Here is a 12,538-nt window from a genome sequence, read left to right as displayed (position 1 = left end):
CAACTCCTCCAGCTCATCCAGCCGGGGTACTGCATTCCCGCTCCCCGGGACCCCCAGCCCGGGACGTCTAGGTCCAGCCCCTCCCACTCGCCCAGCTCCTCCAGCCCGAAACATGGAGCCCCCACACGGCTCCCAGCCTAGGACAAGGAATTCCGATTCCCCTACCCGCCACTCAGCATGGGACACTAGCAAGGGCTCGCCCCACGGGAGCCCCAGACGTCGTGGAGGCTGGGGAGAGACTGGCTCTCCTGGCCCCCGGTCACTCGTGCGGCCATGGCGGCCCACGTCTCGCCTGTCCGCGGGCGGGCACCAGGAACAGCTCTGACACCGCTCCCCGCCCCCGGGCGGGTGCGCAGCGCGACCCCAGCCTCCGCCCCGCCGCCTACCTGCTTGTCCCGCGCGCGCCGCTCCGCTTCCTCCGCGCCTTTGCGGCCGCTCGCGTACGCGGACGCCACGAAGCTGTCCCCTGCGGTCCGGGGGCGGACGCGCGGGAAACCCGCACCGAGGAGGGAAAGAGACGCGCCGTGAGCCCCGCGGGCGCTGCGCCTTCGCTGTGTCCCCATCGCCTGGAGACCGCGCAGGGGCAGGCGTGGGGGTCCCGCGCGCTCCTGGAGACCCGCGGCCCCGTCCCCCCACTGCTGGCTCCAGGGCAGGACGCGCGCGGGCTCCTAGCTCTGAGGGTCCCGGGCCGGGTCGCCGCCCCCCGCCCCGCCCGTCGGCTCGCCCGCTCACCTTCCGGGCTCTCTCTCCGCTTGCGGGCGGCGGCGGCTGCGGCACGGCGGGACGCGGGGAGAGGAAAACGACAGTGAGAGGCGGCCCCACGCCCGCCCGCCCGCCCTCCCGCCCTACCGGCCCGCGGCTCACCGTGCTTCGACTGCAGTTTCCCCATCGCCGCCGCCACGCCCCGCCGGGCCCCGCGCTCAGGTGCAGGGCTGAGTTCTGAAGCCGGGGCCGGGAGCCCGCGGGGGCCGCATGGGCCGGGAGCAAGCTAGGGTGCCGGTAGGAGGTGAGGGAAGATGGCTCCACGCCGCGCGGGGGCCGGGGGAGCCAGGGGGCGCCAGGTACGGCCGCGGGGCGGAGGTGGGGGGCCACCGGGCGCAGGGCGCGGGGACAGCGGCGGCAGCGACGGCGGCCCGGCTCCCTCTGAGCGCGTGCGCCCGCGCCGGGGCTTTAACCGCGGCCCCCGCAGCGCCCCCGGCGGCCGCTGCCCGCAGCGCATCGGCCTCGACCCCCGTTCCCAGCCTGGAGCCCCACCAGCGATGAGGACCCGGCCCGGCCACCTGTGGGGGCGGTCAGGTGCTGCAGCGGAGCCTGGCGGGAGTCAGCTCCGACCCCTCACCAGGCCGTCCTGGGTCAAGGGATCCCCAATTCCAGAGGAGCCTGAGGGCACCTCCCTTTGAAAGGGAGGACCCGCCTCCCTTGGCTGCTGGAGAGGGGGTGGGGGTGTGGGCAGCCCAAAGGGGGGTGGTATCCGGCAGGACTAGATCCCCGCCCTCTCCTGGCGCTCCAAATTGATGAAGAACCAGCGTTGGCCCCCCCCGGCCCCGGCTGGAAGGGCCCTGCACCCCCTCACTTTGTCCTTGGTTTGAGCAGGGTCTCCTCCGACCTGTGCCTTGAGGGTGTTGGAGCCTCCCAGGAGCCCCAAGCCTGGCCACCTGCGCTGCCTCCTCCACGTGTCCAACTCAGTGGCTTCAGCTGCTACCTCCCTGGCCTCATCTCAAGCTCCTCCAGCTGGCTCTGGAGACCCGTCCCTCAGTACCCTTCACTGGACCCCCTCTCTGCCTCCTACCCTGCTGGGTACCTCAGGGCTCTCTTCCTTATTTACCTTCAGAGGAACCTTCTTCCCTCACTTCCTCCTGGAACCCTAACTTGCTCCTGTTTCTGGGACATTTCTCCCTTCCCTACCCATGACTCTCCTCCCTGCCACGCCCTGTTGCATTGATACATTGTATCTCCCCAGCCTTTCAAGAGCTAGCTCAGCATTTTCCCCACGGGCTGTTGCCACGCCCACGTCTCCAACCTCAGTGGGTGACCCCACCTTCTGCCAGGGCAGCTCCCGTCCCTGGAGTTGGAGCTCCGAGGCTGGCGGTGCGGGACCCCTCACCTGCCCAGCTCCGGCCCTGCCAGGCCTCCGCTAAGCTGGCCCAGGTCCCACCCGGTCTCTCTGTTCCCACTCCCCTGGCTGGAGCCCTGTCTCACAGCTGAGCAGCGCAGCTCCGCGGCTGCCCAGTGCTGACTTGCACCTCTGGAGCTGACGTCCAGCCAAGCCCTTTCACTCCAATTACTGCCTCCCATTCTCAGACCATCCTCGGGGCAGATGCCGCCATCACACGATTTTACAGAGGCCTAGGCTGCTCAGTGGCAAAACGGAAAGTTAAACCAGAGGCCCGCCCCCCACCCCAGCAGCCTCCCCTGCTGGCTGTCCGCAGATACATGAGCTGTGGGCGAGCACATGAACAAGGGCACACGGACCCTCCTGGGAGTAGTCTTGCCTGCGAGCCATTCCCACCATCCTCTGAAGAACCCTAGTGGAGGGGCCACTTCCTGCAGGCAGACAGCTCTGGCACCTGGTAGCAGGGTTGCACCCGGCCAGGCCGTGCCTGCGATGGGCTCAGAGCGCCCTTGTGTATAGCGTCCAGGCGTCCAGATTCAGGGCCAGGGCCACCCTCCCAGGCTCTTTCGGCCCCTCCTCTCTCCCTTGCGCTACCCCAAGTGGACTTTAACTCCCAATTTGGAAGGTAACAATGCCATCTTCTGTGGTCTCAGGGTCCTAGTGAGTGTGTGAGGATGATAGTGTTACATGTTATGCAAAGTAGCACAGCCTGAGGATTGCAGCCCTTCCCGTGCCTCTAAATCCTGCCCTTACATGAGGACCGATGAGCCACCCTGGGTGAAGATCTGCTGGTGGGCTCGTGTCCCCTGTGTGGCTGGGAGCCTTGCCTCACACATGCATGGGCCCTCCTCCCAAGACCCCGAGAAGGTCCCACTGGGGGAGGTTGGCTGAGGTGCCCCAGCCAGGTGGGGAAGGGCCATTGTGTTTCACTCCTCTGCTGACTGAGCTCTGGTCCTTGCTAAATGCAGATGTCAGGAGGTCTGGGGGAGGAAGTGTCCTGGGAGGACAGGTGGAGGTGGGGGGTGGGGGCGGGCCATGGCACCAACCCCACACCCTACAGGGTGCCCAAGCTGGAGGAGCCCATGAGGCTGGGCCTGCACTGGCTGCCGTGCCCTCGCACCCACCTTGTCACTTGGAACTAGGCACATGCAGAGTCCAAACAGCAGAAACTCCCCATGCACTCCAGTGAACCTGAGTTACTAGGCAAAGGTTTTACATTTATTCTTTAGCAGCTTTATTGAGATACATACAATTCAGGGGCCCTACAATTCACCCATGAAAGTACAGACCATCTCCATCCATCCCAGGCGGGACGCCGCCAGCACACAAGGCGCACAGCTTGACCCTCAGCCCCACTGACTGGCAGATCAGGGCTGTGTGTCCTCCTCCCACTGGGCTCAGACAGTGTCCTGGGAGTCCTCTGAGGTAGAGGAATGGGATCCCCCAGGGCTCCTCTGAGTGGGAGCTGGAGAGTGAGAGCAGCCGATTCACCCATTCCTTCCCAGAGGGTCCGGAGTTCCCACCCAGCAGGACACGCCTGACCCTCACCTCGCGTGTCCTCAGGGCATTCCCCCGGGTGGATCCGCAGTGGGGGTTAGGGGCACTGCAGAGCTGAATCTGTACCCCACTGTCAGCTCAAAGGGCAACCCTAAGTGGCCCCTACGCCTCCAATGCCCACTGGACTCTTTCCCCTATGACCATCTCTCCTGGGTAGGGCAGAGCCGGCCTGGGGTTGTTCTAGAGCTGGAGTCACCAGCTCCAGGCCCTGCAAACCTGACCCCCATGCCAGTTCACAATCCCTTTGCATAACATGTAACACTATTATCCTCACACACTCACTAGGACCCTGAGACCACAGAAGATGACATCATTACTTTCCAAATTGGGAGTTAAAGTCCACATGGGGTAGTGCAAGGGAGAGCCCCTTGAGATGTCTGCATCACAGAGCGGCCTGGTCCCCTCAGCCATTCCAGGAGGAAGGGGTTCTCTTTGCTCCCCTTGACGTTCCCTTCTGGCGTGTGCATGCCTTTGCCCTCTGCGGGGCCAGTGGGCACCCACCATGCTTTCCCGGTGCTGCCTCAGTGGTGGCTGCCGCGAGATGCCCATCTACTTTTCGTGGAGGCCTCGGGACCAGTGTGGTTTGCTGGACGCTCTCCTCACGTGATGCCAGCCCGGCGTGTCCTCTCCTGGGCCCGTCTGTGGGGCAGCCCCCTGCCTGCCTCTTCCAGGGGCCCTGCAGGGACTTCCAGGTTCCTCAGGCCCGTCCTGCCTCGCCTTTCGCTCTGCGTCTGCCCGGGGCAGCCCGAGCTGGGACCTTCTGGCGGGAGCCGCAGCTTTTCAGGGCAACTGTCCTTGTCCCTGGGGGACGGCCAGTGTACGCGGGGACACTTGCGGCCCCAGCCCACTGCCGGCCTGGAGGAAAGGACGCGGGGGACCCCCATACGTGACCAGCGGCTGCAGCGCAGCTCGGGCTCACAGCGGGGCGGCCGGAGCAGCCTGGACCCCCGACGCCCGCGCCGTCCAGTCCGGGGACTCGGAGGCTGAGCCCGTAGGGGGCCGGCCCGGGGGCCATGGGCGTCCCCGCCCTGCCTTTTGCTGGGCCACGGAGCTTTGAGGACAGTTTCGCCTGCTGATAAAATCCGTTCCCAGCACTTTCGAAAGGCAGGGCGGGGCTCAAGCCGTCCCTGGAGGTTAAAATGCGCGTCCTCGCAGCTTTTCAAATCAGCCTCTCCTTATCTCCTCAGCCGCGGGCGGGGCAGGGGCCTGGTCTCCGGATGGAGGAGGAGGTGCGGCCGCAGGACGCCCAGCGGGGAGACCCGGGGAGACCCGGCCGGCGTCCGCCTCCGCTCCCGGCACGGCCGCCCGCGCCCGCCCTTCTCTGCCCCAGCCCGGGACCGGCAGGGTCAGAAGCGGGCGGCGGCGGGCGCGGGGCTCTGTCCTCCCGGCCCCTCCACCTCAGCGGGCGCAGCCGTGGGGTCCCCACCAACAGCGTTCGTGGGGGCAGCGCGGGCCCCGTCTCCCCCCGTGGCTATTCTCCCCGCGAGGCCTTGGCGCTCGTGCGGCCTTGGGAGCAAGAGCGCCCCCGCGCGCTCCTCACTCGGCTTGGGACACGCTCGTGAACTCTCGGCGGCGTCACCCTCTTCCACCGCGACTCCGCGTTCTGGGAGGCGGGGCTCATCCTGTTTTGTGGTTGTCACGGTGGCCACGGCTCCTCCCCTCCCGTTTAGAAAGCGGCGAGGTCGGGGTCCGCCGTGTGAGGGGGCGTCCGCCATGTGAAGGGGCGTCGAGGCATGTCCGCTGTGTGAGGGGGTGTCCGCGGCGTGAGGGGCGTCCCTGTGTGAGGGGCGTCCCTGTGTGAGAGGCGTCCGCGGAGTGAGGGGCGTCCCTGTGTGCGGAGGCCTCCGTGGCATGAGGGGCATCCGCTGTGTGAGGGGCGTCCCCTGTGTGAGGGGCGTCCGCGGTGTGACCTCACGGTGTGGCGTGCCTGGAAGGCATGGTGTAGCCAACTCTGACCCCGGGGTCAGGGGCCTCTTTTGAAGACACTGTCTTGGCCCCAGGCTGTGGCTGGAGTTGAAATAGGCGCATGCGCGGAGCCGGCACACACACACACACACACACACACACACACACACACACACCCACGTCCCCTTCAGTGCCCGGCTTTTTCCCCATAGTGCGAGCAAAGCCGTGAGCCTCGCGACCCGAAGTAGCCGGCAAGACTGAAATTCACACACGGGTTGGTCTCCACCGGAGCCCTGGGGACGTCTAAGAAAAGCACTGCCTGACATCGGACAAAACGCTACTGTGACGCGTCACACGGAGCCTGCCGGGACATTTCCCCTCCCTGCCCATGCCGCGTTGGCCCTGGCGGATTGGCCCCACGAGGGAGGATGGCGACTCCGGGTCTGGATGTGTGCTCCCCTTGCGTGCTCTTCGCTTTGCAAATGGATCCCTACGTTTTTAAGTGCACAAGATCCCCTGGGTGTCGCCTGCACACCGCCCCCGAGGCCGCCCTTGTTTGAGTCCACCTCTCCTTGGCTGTGCAGCGTCCGCCAGCCATGCTGACCCCTGAAGCCTTGGCTGTGCCTCCCAAGTGCACCGGGTTTCCCTGCAGACACACGCTTTGGCATGAACATGCCTTCTTAGGCATGAACAAGAAGTTCACGTGGCTGCCACACCCAAGTGCCTTGCATTTCGCCTGCTCCCCGCACCCCCCCCAACCATGTTGCCACACGAGGCTTATTCTGAATTACAGGTTGGTTGTGATATCACCTCTGGTACATGGACTGTTAAAACTATTGAAAGGGAGGTGGATCTGAAGCACGCCTACCTGTTTCCTGGCATACTTGGAACGTTGCCAGACCACTGGATACTTAGAAGGCTAATTCTACATTTATCCTCAGCCATCATTCTGAGCGCCTTCAAAAGATGAATCATCTGCACCGACTATTAAATTTAATAACCATGCACTTCTCCAGGGAAATTGCCTCAAAGGGACCCACAACTGGCCACGATTCATGGTTGAGGAAACACCTCTTCCAGTTTCAGGTAAATATTTGTGCAAATCTTTCAGGCAATTTGTGATTAGAGACCTAGAAGGAAAAAACCCACCCAAGTCAGAAAATGGTTTTCCAAAGGTGTTCTGGGCATACTTTTGTATGCACTTGTTTTTTGGGTTTTACTGGTTTTTATTGCAATCAAAGTAAGTTCAGTAAAAGGGCCTTGCAAGCTGGGCAGCGAGGGCAAGTAGAAGGCATGATTCGTGGGCAGCAGAGAAGCCCTGGGCTCCTGGCTTCTCAGTTCGAAGCACACCCGGGCGTACACACCGGTGAACATGTGAAACACAGCCGTCACATGTAGCAGGGCAGACGGCAGTGACGGTGAGAAGCTGCCTTCCAGGAGTCCCGTATGCGTGATTTTTTTTTTTTTTTTTTTTTTTTTTTGGAGACGGAGTCTCACTGTGTTGCTCAGGCTGGAGTGCAGTGGCGTGATCTCAGCTCACTGCAACCTCCACCTCCCGGGTTCAAGTGATTCTCCTGCCTCAGCCTCCCGAGTAGCTGGGATTAGAGATGCATACCACCACGCCTGGTTAATTTTTGTTTTTAGTAGAGATGGGGTTTTGCCATGTTGCCCAGGCTGGTCTCGAACTCCTGACCTCCAGTGATTCCTCCCCCCACCCCCGTCTCGGCCTGCCAAAGTGCTCAGCCTCCCAAAGTGCTGGGATTACGGGCGTGAGCCACCACGCCTGGCCGTGATTTTTAAAATAACCCAGGAATCTGAGTGAGCAGTGAAGGAAGCCCAGATGCCAAGAAACATGTGTGGGCATCAATTATGATCACTGAGGTCCTCTCCACCTAAACACTTGCTGTAATTTGGTGATATTTATCTTATCCCAACCTGGGGAGTTTTAGTCTTAGTCTTTGTATCTTATCAGCTCTGGCTTGGAGGAAAGTCTCTCCTGGCTGGAAATGAAAGTGTGAATCAGCAGTGAGTTGCTGCTCTCACTTCCAGGTGAAGGGGCTCAGGTTCATCCTCCGCTCAACTCAACGTGCGGTCGGCCTTGGGTCCCCAGGCCGGAACTGGCCTGAGACACGGAAACTCCCACAGCTTCTGCACCCGACCACTGAGGCCTGCTTCTGCCTGAGCTGCAGCAGCCATGTTCCAAATGTGTGGTTTGTGGTGAAATTTCACTGGGAAATCAGAAAAGATCACAAAGCGACCTCGGCTCAGGGATTTCTGTGGACATCTGTTTCCCACGCAGGCCTTGTCTGGGGACAGGGGATGCGATCGTTGGGCATGGTGACTGATGCTTCTGCAGAGGCTCGAGGGCCGTTAGGTGTCCTGCTGTCCACAGCCCAGGGGGCTCACACACCTCTTTGCCTGCCCCTGAGAAACCCAGAGAACTGCTTCTCCACTGCACTGCAGTCTTCCATGTGTGGCTTTCAGCTGCTTCTGGAAGAATCTGCATGCCTTCGTGGGTGTTGTCAGTGAGTGTGCAGGGAATACTCCCTGAGGGAAGTCTCCGCCATCTGGTAGGCCACAAGATGCCCCTCTGTGGCCTGGTCCCGCGGGCTTCCCCTTCTCCAGCCTGGTCATGCAATGCCAGACTCTCTCCTGATGGTTCTCACCAGGGATGCGTCCTCCCTCCTGCCAGGACACCTGCCACTGCCCCTGACTGCCCTGCCTCCTGCCCCGTCCATGGGGCTGCGTGCATATGGAAGGCGCTTTGTGTGTGCCAATCAGCCCCGAGAAGGAAGGAGGGTTCCCCTGTCCATTCCTCTACCCAGGATCCCCAGCTCCTGGGGCAGTGCTGAGACATGCTGCTATTACCTGCCCAAGTCCCAAGTTCCCAGGGACAGCAGGCCAGCTGGGTCTACCACCTCATAGCTGCCCAGGACAGTCCCCAGCCCTGGGCTCACAAAGCTAAATAAATAAATCTTTTATTTGTTTATTTATTTATTTATTTTTGAGAGAGTCTCAGTCTCTCACCCAGGCTGGAGTGCAGTGACATGATCTCAGCTCACTGCAACCTCTGCCTCCTGGGTTTGAGCGATTCTCCTGCCTCAGCCTCCCGAGTAGCTTGGATGACAGGCACCCACCACCACGCCCGTCTAATTTTTTTTCTATTTTTAGTAGAGACAGGGTTTCACCATGTTGGCCAGGCTGGTCTTGAACTCCTGACCTCAAGTGATCCGCCCACCTCAGCCTCCCAAAGTGCTGGGATTACAGGCGTCAGCCACTGAGCCCAGCCTAAAGCCGCTTATCTTTAAGATGGAGGCCTCGGCCCCTTCAACAGGTTGTGCAGCTCTTGTGGTGGGGGGAGTCCCTTTCCATGGCCCACCTCATCCACCGCTGGGGACTCCCTGGGGTCCCAGCAACAAGGACCCACTCCTTCCCCTGCCCGGTGCACAGGTGTAGATGCCAGGCAGATTGGGTTGGGGGTGTACTGCACATTTTCCTTGCAGCAGCGGACGTGGACTCAGGGAACGAACCCAGTCCTCAGTCTTCAATTCTCAGCCCACAAAAGGGGCTTTCTACCTTGAGGAAGGAACCCCTCATTTAACATCTTTTTCTTCAAGTCTTCACCACATCATGGATGTCTGTACGATGAGATTGCAGCAGGCACAGAAGCCTGAGGGTACTTGGTGGGAGGAGGCCTGGGGATATTGAGGGACCACATGGCAGGCAGTGGTGGGCAGATTGTGAGTTCTATCCTGATGGGCGCCCACAGGCAGCAGGACCCCTGGAGGCGGCCGTGCCTCCATCTCCTAAAGAAAGGCAGCGCTCACTCATGCTGGGAACGTGTGGGGCAGCATTTACAGCCCAGGTTGTGACAAGGATGTATAAGTCACTGTGCCTGAGTCACGGAAACCCAATGGTGTTTATCACTTCTTCCCTGAGAGAGATGAGGGGACCAGGCACGGCGCTTACCATGAGGGTCAGGGAACTGCACTCAAGGCCTGGACTGGGTTCCATCTTCCCATAGCTGTCAGGGAAGGAAGCTGGCCCTCCCATTCCTCCTGGAGGGACCAGGCCACCAGGTCTTTGATCCTGAGAGGCATCTTTGCCAAGGAGCAAAAAGGATGGTGTCTGCTCAGGGCATAGCCCAGGAGACTTCCACCCATTGCCCCTTAGGAGCCCCTTAGGAGGCAGCAGATGGGCTCAGCACAGGTGGCTGGAAGGGTCCAGTCCCTCCATCCCCAGGTCTCTCAGAGGAATCGCATAGTTCTCCCTCTAACCCAGGACCTAAAAATCTCCAGCTTGCCTCCAAGAAGAATCCTGCTGGCCATTTCCCAAGGCACACCCAGACCACAAGAGGCTGGAGGGTCTGCCCACATCCTTGCCTGGGTGCACCTACCCCATTAATGTTCCCTGCAGCCCAGGGCTCCTCGGCAAAAGCCTCGTGAAGTCACGTGTCCAGTTTTTGGGGAGTTAGTTTAGTTAAAACTGGACATCACGATCTGAAGTCCTCATGTCCATCTTGGGTGAGCTGTGGAGTGGAGCTGGTATAGCTGGGTGCTGGAGGGTCCCAGTGGGTCTCTGGGATTCTCCTGGCAACAGGGGAGCCTGCTGGGCTGCCTAAACAGTGCCTGCTGGGCCAAGCCTATTGCTTAGAGAGCAACTGCAGCAGTCCTTGTGTTATAGTTTCTTTTCTCACCTCAGAGGGTCAGGGTGGATATGTCCAGGATCCCCTCTTCAGTGGCAGTTTTGGGAGTTACTAAAAGAGGCTCTTCCCACCCCACTGCCAGAATAGTGAATTGCAGTGAGGCATCCCTGACCCCACCGCCCCACACATGGCCCCAGGTGGACACAAATAGTCTTTTCTGCAGAATGTGAGAGCCAGTCCTCCCTGCCTTGGACATCCGGCTCCCCACCCTGGGTAGTGAGGCCAGGCATTCCTGCAACTCTCTCCTGTGGGTGGTGTCTTGAGTCTCTGCAACCATGGACACAGGTGGCAGCAATGTACTTGGATTCCGACGAAGGGGGTGCCCATGGCTGAGGCAGGACTGGGTTCACAGCCATCCAAGTTAGCATCTGGGAGAGTTGGCTCATGCTCCAGAGAGCCTCCTCCCTTCAAGTCTTGGTGACTTGTCAGGGGATTTTTAGCACGAGGTGGTTGCCTCACCAAGGGAGCAGCATTCTTGGGCCTTGTAAACTGTCTGGACACCGCAAAGCATTGATGCCTCCCTGGACAGCATGGGCCTGGCTCTGCCAACACATCCGTCATCCTACTACACACTTCCAGCAAACAGGGATGATGCTTTTCATCCAAGGTCAAGGTTGGTGGGGAAGGGCTCTGTCTTGGCCCATGGGCCTGCAGGTCTGTCTCTGAGTTGGGACAGCTGCTGGAAGGCCCCACTAAACTAATGTAAGATACTCGGAAAGTTTGTCACCAGGGGAAGAAAGCATTCTGGACTGCATCATTGGTGTCAGATTCCACTGTGTGTTTAGAAGGCACAGTTTGTTTCCGAGAGTCTCAAAATGTAAGCAGCAAACACCCTGCCAAGCTGCAGACATAGGGCAGATACAGAGAGGGGTGAAGAACTGGAGCAACTGAAGGCACTTCCCATGGATGCTGCGGGGAGAGGACCTCTTCCTGGGAGCTGAGGGCCAGGATCCCCCTGAGGCCCTCTCTGGTCAAATGAAAATGGTTCCTGTCTTATATATTAGGTGAAAGTTTGGATCTCTGTTCTGTAAACTGGCCAGGACTGCACAACAACCTCCCAGTGGCCCATGGAGTGGCACCCTCACGGGGTGAAGCCGCCCCCAGCACCAGTGCAGCCAAAGCTCCGGCTCCTTGGGTGAGCTGGAGAGGAGGAGGCACTTCAGCAGGGGCTGGGGGTGCTGTGTGATTTGCCTGAGAAGCTGCTTCTGTTAACGAAGTCCTGTGCCTGGTGGGAACTCGGGTCGGCCATGAGGAGGATGCACCCATGTCCTCACGCCTGTGGCTGGGTCTCCTCCTCATCTTGTGGCAGCGCCAGACATTCCAGAACATGGGTTCAGGAAACTTGGACTGGGTCTGAACCAGCAGGAAGCATGCCAAGAAACCTCCTCCCACCGTCCTGCTCTTCTCTCCCTCCCTCCCTCTTCCCTCCCTCCCCCGTCCCTCACTCTTCCCCTTCTCCCCCGTCCCCCTTTTCCTCTTTCTCTCTGATCACCAGTCTTCTGAGTTATCACAACCAAGTGAGACTGACTCAAGCTATTATTGAAAATATGGCCACATCGAATGTTTTTCTGATAAAAAGAAGAACATAAGTAATTGGGGCAGGGGGTGAGGTGAGGACCTGGCGGATGCCTTGGAGGCAACACGAGGGTGGATTTGCTTGGGCAGAGCTAAGCCAGTGAGGCCATCTCCACTCAGGCCCGATGGAGTGGAGGGCACTGCCTTGATCCAGTGGAGCCCGTGGACTGTGCCTTTTCCCAGACCTGATGCCTCTCCCACCCCTGCCCCTGTTGCCCCAGAGCCAGGTGAGGGCAGATGGCCCAGGGCCACCTCAGACCCCCACTGGGAGAGCAGCCAAAGCCATGCCCAGTACCAGTAGCAGTGCCTCATGTTCTGAAGATCTGCCTTGTGGATAAAAATGCCTCATCCATTCTTACCGCTATGGAATATTCACTTATAGACATTTATCACTTTTTCCAGGTTATAGTTTTGTGAAATAAAATGTTTATTATTTTTTGTTATGAAAGTGCTGTATGATCATTGTAAAAAAATTAGAAAAATGTGGAAAAATGTGAAGAGAAAAATAAAAATTCCCTCCCCCCCCCACAGATTCCCATCTCCCAAGATAATCACCTAATTATCTGCAGTTTTGTTTCCTACTTATTTTACTGAAAATCATTTCATGCTCATTTCTTTATATGTTGTCAACTGAAGATTCATGAGATTCATAAACATGGAAGGGAGAGCTTTATTTCTCTAAA

At 59.6% G+C, this 12,538-nt stretch overlaps 1 protein-coding gene and 1 long non-coding RNA gene across 6 annotated transcripts in view, besides 7 other annotated features; one reads left to right on the top strand and one right to left on the bottom strand.

Annotated features, from left to right (window-relative positions):
• Positions 1-1,145, bottom strand: part of NKD2 (NKD inhibitor of Wnt signaling pathway 2) — a 30,142-nt gene extending 28,997 nt beyond the window's left edge. For all 5 annotated transcript variants that reach the window (XM_005248382.4, NM_001271082.2, NM_033120.4 and 2 more), the window contains exons 1-3: positions 865-1,145; positions 733-768; positions 387-466 (exon numbers count right to left, since the gene is read on the bottom strand). In XM_005248382.4, coding sequence (XP_005248439.1) covers positions 387-466; positions 733-768; positions 865-889 — 141 coding nt within the window. In that variant the 5' untranslated portion in view covers positions 890-1,145. The remainder of the gene's footprint in view (positions 1-386; positions 467-732; positions 769-864) is intronic.
• Positions 1,118-1,883: an enhancer, noted in NCBI's record as "H3K4me1 hESC enhancer chr5:1008179-1008944 (GRCh37/hg19 assembly coordinates)". NCBI's record gives its function as "activates a minimal SCP1, AML or CMV promoter by ChIP-STARR-seq in naive and primed H9 embryonic stem cells {active_cell/tissue: H9 hESC(naive and primed)}" and the evidence as "EXISTENCE:reporter gene assay evidence [ECO:0000049][PMID:30033119]".
• Positions 1,884-2,649: an enhancer, noted in NCBI's record as "H3K4me1 hESC enhancer chr5:1007413-1008178 (GRCh37/hg19 assembly coordinates)". NCBI's record gives its function as "activates a minimal SCP1, AML or CMV promoter by ChIP-STARR-seq in naive H9 embryonic stem cells {active_cell/tissue: H9 hESC(naive)}" and the evidence as "EXISTENCE:reporter gene assay evidence [ECO:0000049][PMID:30033119]".
• Positions 3,803-4,446: an enhancer, noted in NCBI's record as "H3K27ac-H3K4me1 hESC enhancer chr5:1005616-1006259 (GRCh37/hg19 assembly coordinates)". NCBI's record gives its function as "activates a minimal SCP1, AML or CMV promoter by ChIP-STARR-seq in primed H9 embryonic stem cells {active_cell/tissue: H9 hESC(primed)}" and the evidence as "EXISTENCE:reporter gene assay evidence [ECO:0000049][PMID:30033119]".
• Positions 4,447-5,091: an enhancer, noted in NCBI's record as "H3K27ac-H3K4me1 hESC enhancer chr5:1004971-1005615 (GRCh37/hg19 assembly coordinates)". NCBI's record gives its function as "activates a minimal SCP1, AML or CMV promoter by ChIP-STARR-seq in primed H9 embryonic stem cells {active_cell/tissue: H9 hESC(primed)}" and the evidence as "EXISTENCE:reporter gene assay evidence [ECO:0000049][PMID:30033119]".
• Positions 4,679-4,973: an enhancer, noted in NCBI's record as "tiled region #4144; K562 Activating DNase matched - State 4:PromP". NCBI's record gives its function as "activates a minimal TATA promoter and a strong SV40 promoter by Sharpr-MPRA in K562 cells {active_cell/tissue: K562}" and the evidence as "EXISTENCE:reporter gene assay evidence [ECO:0000049][PMID:27701403]".
• Positions 4,679-4,973: a silencer, noted in NCBI's record as "tiled region #4144; HepG2 Repressive non-DNase unmatched - State 4:PromP". NCBI's record gives its function as "represses a minimal TATA promoter and a strong SV40 promoter by Sharpr-MPRA in HepG2 cells {active_cell/tissue: HepG2}" and the evidence as "EXISTENCE:reporter gene assay evidence [ECO:0000049][PMID:27701403]".
• Positions 5,092-5,735: an enhancer, noted in NCBI's record as "H3K27ac-H3K4me1 hESC enhancer chr5:1004327-1004970 (GRCh37/hg19 assembly coordinates)". NCBI's record gives its function as "activates a minimal SCP1, AML or CMV promoter by ChIP-STARR-seq in naive and primed H9 embryonic stem cells {active_cell/tissue: H9 hESC(naive and primed)}" and the evidence as "EXISTENCE:reporter gene assay evidence [ECO:0000049][PMID:30033119]".
• On the top strand, positions 5,974-12,303 carry LOC124900932 (uncharacterized). The gene is made up of 2 exons (XR_007058677.1): positions 5,974-6,661; positions 7,625-12,303. It is a non-coding gene; the product is annotated as an uncharacterized LOC124900932 (long non-coding RNA).
• The last annotated feature ends 235 nt before the right edge of the window (positions 12,304-12,538 follow it).

This window comes from Homo sapiens, chromosome 5, assembly GCF_000001405.40.
Source record: "Homo sapiens chromosome 5, GRCh38.p14 Primary Assembly".
Classification (NCBI taxonomy): domain Eukaryota; kingdom Metazoa; phylum Chordata; class Mammalia; order Primates; family Hominidae; genus Homo; species Homo sapiens.
The sequence above is the reverse complement of the archived record's forward strand: the minus strand, read 5'-3'. Positions and strand labels throughout refer to the sequence as shown.